Below are 6,322 nucleotides of genomic sequence, written 5' to 3'. Positions count from 1 at the left end.
AACAAATGCTAAATCCAAAAATATTGTCGTGCTTCATGCCTACATTACTTTTGAGTACACATATTTCTTCTGTAACCCATTATAAGGAGTTTTCAAAATATAATATGTTCTTAATAACTTACATTAAATAATTCAGTGGTAAATACAAGTTATAATATATTGAATGTTGACTGGTCAAGAGTTCCCTTTTTTCATAAAACAGATTTCAATTCTCATGTTAGTTTGGCCAACTGAAAGTAAATATGCTTGGTAGAAAACAGTCTAAGTGAGACATTATTAATGAAATAATATGTCTGAAGGTCTGGTACTAATGCTGGATCACGAATATAATTTTTGAACATGAAGAGCTACTAAATGTAACTGAGTTTAGACTGGGAAACTTTTCCAGTGATCCACTAGGTACTAGTTTAGTTGCATGGCTGAATGACCCAGCTATTTGCCAGAGGAGAGGGAAATGATATGTAGCTGACTGTCAAATCATATGCTATTTATTATAGTTATATTTTGTTTGTTTTAACTCTTAAGTGAATTGTGAGTTTCTGCAAATCAGAAAATTGTTTATTAATGTTTGTTTGTACTGCTGTGCTTAATTCAAAACCACCTAATGAGTGATTTTTGAAATCAACCCAATTCATACATGATGGGTAGATTTAAAAAATAGTTTTACATTGTTTCTTATTTCGTTTAGAACTGCAATCCCGAGATAGGAAGATTGCTTCAAAAACTATAACAGATTTCTGAAATTGAGTAAATTTGCTTCAATTGTCTATTAAAAGTTTTGAAGTATAATAAACAAAAAAATATATTAAGTAAAGCAAGGTTCAAAATCACGTTTCCAGTAAACTTTGCATTTGCAGTACATTTATGTAGACAAAACAAGTCCACAATAGTTTAAACAGACATTCACAGCAGGTGATTCCAAGACCATGGGAAGGATTTGGTTCCTGTTTATTTTCTGAGTTGTCTTGGATGCTCTCCTTCCAGTTATGTATTCTTCTCTTTCTCATGTATCATGTCTTATTTCAACTATTCTGACAGCATGTCAAGCATTAGCAGCAGAATAATCTGTATGCACAGTGGGAGAGAGAGGCAGACCAAATACACATTGAATAAGGAAAAAGAAGTTTCCAGCGGTTGATACATTATTCTCCCTAGCAAAGGGCTAGATTTGCTAAGCATATGGAGACATGCTTAAGGATCAATAGGGAGAACTTTGAAATATATGCCCATCCTGTGAAAATTTATATCTTGACTGAGGATATGTTTTGATAGTATAAGTAATATTCTCATAAAATTTTTGGAGTGACACATGAGAAATGGAGGAAACCATAATGTAAAAAGCACATGTTAAGTCCTTGCCAATGATTAAGCCATCCTTTTGCCTTATAAAGACATTGATTTTCATTCTATCCTGATCTTTTAGAGTAGTTGGGTTCTATATATCTTGAGAATTCCTATGAGAATAAAACACAGCTAAAATTAGTGTAATGAGCTTAAGTTAGAGGAAAGCAAGATACCCTGGATCTTGGATAAATATACTTGGTTTAACGAATTTCTTAAGATATATCCATGAGGATATCATTTTCCTTACCAAAATATAATGCATATCTTTATTTATTTGTTTTTTTAACCTCAGAGCTTCTAGGGTAGACTCAAAAAAGACATTCTGCTAGCCTTATGTTTTACTATGTTTCCATAAATGCTAACATTTCTTTCAAATATTTACCCCCAAGGCTTATTTTAGATGTATCAGCTAAGGGAGAGGAGTCAGAAAGATACCTTATAATGAAGTTTCCTCTTCTTTTTCTTATATTCGTAACAATCCGATAAATGGTTTCTGAATTATCGAGTAGACCTCTGAGAACTCAGCAGGTGATTCCAAATCAAATTCACAACCTTCCAAGATGACATTTTCCTTAGAAAATCCCAGTATCTAACCTTACCAACTGGATTAAAATCAAACTTCTTTATGAAAAAATATACATCATTAAATTGTGAAATCAAATATAGCTCTATTAATTAAAATGTAATGGTAGGAATAGGAAAAAGTGTTAGTGTGCGTTGTAATAGAAAGAGATGACAAGTGCGCACAGCTGAGGAACGTTCCTTATATTTCCAAGGTCTCTGTGTCAGAAGTTCGATATCACCATAACCTTTTGATGGGTCTTAGTTAATAAATAGTTCGTTATTATATTTTATTCATACTGTAATATTGCTTTTAAATTCGTCCTCTTCATTCATGGCTGTCTTTAAATCAATAGAATCAGTTAAAATATACAGAATATAAAGTAGAAAATACAGCGTATTTTCTGGTTAGAATATTATGTTGATTTAAGACTTAATTGCATTCTGTGAAATTTAGGTTTAATCATTCCACAAAAAAACACTTTTAGAAGCAAAAGTGATGATTAAAGTATTCAACAAACATAATTTAATAATATTGGTTTAGTTGACAAAATAAAATGTTGTTGTGAAAGCCTTTCTTACCCTTGCTCTAAAAACGGAAAATAAGGCTGGGCATGGTGGCTCACTCCTGTAATCCCAGAACTTTGGGAGGTTGAGGTGGGTGGAGGATCCCTTGAGGTCAGGAGTTTGAGACCAGCGTGGCCAATATGGCGAAACTCCATCTCTACTAAAAATACAAAAAAATTAGCCAGGTGTAGTGGTGTGTGCCTGTAGTTCCAGCTGCTTTGGAGGCTGAGGCATGAGAATCACTTGAACCCAGGAGGCAGATGTTGCAGTGAGCCGAGATTGTGCCACTGCACTCCAGCCTGGGCAACAGGGAAAATAAGAACAAATGTAATCACATAATTTTTTTAGTTGCCATAGTGGGTTTATTACACAAGCATGTGGTGATTTATATTTAATCATAATTTATTGATTATATTAAAAAATAGAGACACAATGGTCTCACAGAGAGGGAATGAACATATATTATTTTGGCTAACTATATTTTATGAGTAACTGCATTTACATTTCCTTGGTTTTGAACTTAGCCATGCTATGAACAACTGAATAATCTTTATTGTTATAGTTTCAAAATATTTGAAATTATCTAATGGCTCTTAGATTATACAATAAAAATTATAAAACATTATATTGAAAAAATGTATTAATATTACAAAACCTTACAATAAAACATAATAATACAGTGTTGTTTTGGCATGTGTCTCTTTTATATAAAAATCAGAAGGAGAAAATCCAGTTATTTGTTCTTTTTTTGAGATTTTACTAAATTACAATGCCCTCAATAATATGAAGACATACAATTTACCAACAAGTGGCCGGGCGCTCTGTCTCACGCCTGTAATCCCAGAACTTTGGGAGCCGAGGTGCGTGGATCACGAGGTAAAGAAGTGAAGACCATCCTGGCCAACATGGTGAAACCTTGTCTCTACTAAAAATACAAAAAATTAGCCGGGCGTGGTGGCGGGCGCCTGTAGTCCCAGCTACTCGGGAGGCTGAGGCAGGAGAATCACTTGAACCTGGGAGGCGGAAGTTGCAGTGAGCCGAGATCGCACCACTCACTGCACTCCAGCCTGGGAGACAGAGCGAGACTCCGTTTCAAAAAAAAAAAAAAAAAAAATTACCAACAAGTTGATAATTTCCTACAGAATTAACGTCACCCTGAAGTTTACCCCTTTGGTATTACAGCTGTTTATCATGTACATAACTCCCTTTTTATTTTGAGAGGGGTTAAAGTTAATTCGTATCTATAATTTATAGAGTAAAATTATATTTGTTAACAAAATAAAAACTTTTTATAATACTTTAATGAAAGGCTTATTCACCAAAGAAAATAATAAAAATTACAGTATCTCATCAATAATTTGGCAGATATCTCAACTCTTATTTTTTCTCGTATTTTAAGACTATAAATTATATAAAAGTAACAGTATTCATTGCTAAACAGTAAAACAATTTTTTTCTGTGTTTACATCTAGCTTACTGTTTTAGTAATAAAAATGTTCTCAATTTTCATGCATTGCAGTCACATCCTTAAAAAATCTGAGATTTCTTGATTTTCTGTAAATTTGGCATTTTAGTCTGAATTATTAAACTTAAGTAACCAGGATGTAAACTTTTATCGCTTTTTTTTCATTTAAAATTAAGAATGACATCTCTCTGAGTTTTTATGTCCAAAATTCTGGATACTTCTAAAAGGATGTGAGCATTACTGCAGGGTAGATGGTAATCCTAGACTTTGGAATACAAATTAAATGAGCTGTTCTATCTGACCATTCTCTGTAACACAGTTTCAGGGACTTGAACGACCTGATTTGAAAAACAAGTATGAACAGTTAGACATAATGTGATCTAAAGGTAGAGTATTTATGTATAATCTTAAGTTACAAAATTATTTGCTGAAAACTTTAAAGTCATATCGTATCTTAATATATATAACCTTATTTATATATTTATTATTTAGTCATCTGCCTTTCTTTCCAAAAATGCTGAAAAATAAGTCAGTTATCTTTTCCTTCATTTGGGGACCATGAGAATTTTCTCTTTGAGAAATATGTGTTTTTTTTTTTTGTTTTGTTTTGTTTTTTTTTTTTTGTGGCAGCTCTGTGAGCTCAAATTTCTTAGGTTTAATCTAAGAAATTCCAGGAGCGTTACTCTCAACCATGAAAGCTTTTTGATAGGAGTGAACTGCAGATGATCTGGCTTTGGAACATTACCAGTAACTTTCAAAGAATTTTCTTCATGAAAGTCAGAATGTCAGTGCTGTTGCTAAAATTTCTGGTTTAAACATGTTTCTTTTTCTTTTTTTTTTTCCCCAGCTGAAAATACAAGGCAAACACTGCCGTTCAAAAACATTAAAAATCCTTGCTTTTATTCTCATATTAGGGTTCAATATCAGTGGATGGAAGTAAAATAGTGTACACATCACTCAAAATAATCAATATACTGAGAGCTGGTAGCCTTACTTTGAGTTCTCACTTCTGCTTTTATGTAAGCCTTGTTGCCTATTTGGAATGTTTTTCTACCTGATACAGGAAATGAGAAGGTGATATTCCTTCCAGTTGTAATCATCCACGTTTCTATGGTGTAAAGTCACTGTATTCCTTTTACCCCCAACTTTTACTACGCATCAACTGCATGCCAGTTACTGGCTGAGTTCTTCACATTAACAATGACATTAAAATTTCAAAATACGCATTTGAGATAGGGATAAAAATGGCAGAGAAATCAAGCAAGTTCCCAAAGGTCACAGAGCCCAATAAGAAACACAAACAGAATAACATAGGAGTCAGATCAGTAGCCAAGATTTGATTTGTGTGATCACCATAATATAGATCTTAAACCAAAACTGATGGCTACTTAACTTAATTTTGTGAAAAGAATGAACACAGAGAGAAAGATGGGCCTCATACACACACACACGCACACGCACACACACAGCATATTTAACTGCATTCTACTAAACAGATACTCTTTCAGGTGACAATTGGCTAGCCTTTTTAAAATTACTTAATTAATTATTATTTCTTTTTAAGCAGAGTCTTTCTCTGAAACCCAGGCTGGAGTGCGGTGGCGGGATCCGGACTCACTGCAACCTCCACCCCCGGGGTTCAAGCGATTCTCATACCTCAGCCTCCCAGGTAACTGGGAATACAGGCATGTGCCACCATACGTGGCTAATTTTTTCAGTAAAGAAGAGGTTTCACCATCTTGGCCAGGCTGGTTTCAAACTCCTGGCCTCAAGTAATCCGCTTGCCTTGGCCTCCCGAAGTACTGGGATTAAAGCCTTGAGCCACCACTCCAGGACTGGCTGGCCTTTCTTGATAGAACAGTTAAGTTTTAAAAGCAAATGAGAAATACTCTCTTTTTAAAACTTTCCCTTTGGGATGAAATTGTGAAATTATAGCTAACTACCATTGACTAGACAAAACTCCAACTGTGTTTTTGGCTTTGCATTTGTTATATTTAATACTTGACTCAAGAAAACCTTGTAAAGTGTCTTTTGTTATTACAGAATCTAGAAGCCCTAAGCAAATATATCACTCTTTTTCTATATATTAGGAGAATTGCCATTTGCCCTATCTGTATTTTCAAACTTTGGGGCTTCAAATGTTTGAAGTAAATTAATATTTGTATTTTAATATTTACCTAGTCAATTTTCTAAGAAATTCAACTTACTAAATGCTTAATGTCAATGTCATTCAAACACAAAGTATATATACTACACTTGATTAAGGATTCATTTACAGAGAGTCATGGAAAATATAACTCATAATTTATAATTTACAAGTCTCAACATTTTGCATATTTTTCAAAAGGGAAATATATATACATGTATACATACATACACACACAT

This window comes from Homo sapiens, chromosome 13, assembly GCF_000001405.40.
Source record: "Homo sapiens chromosome 13, GRCh38.p14 Primary Assembly".
NCBI lineage: Eukaryota > Metazoa > Chordata > Mammalia > Primates > Hominidae > Homo > Homo sapiens.
Note: the sequence above shows the minus strand (reverse complement) of the source record.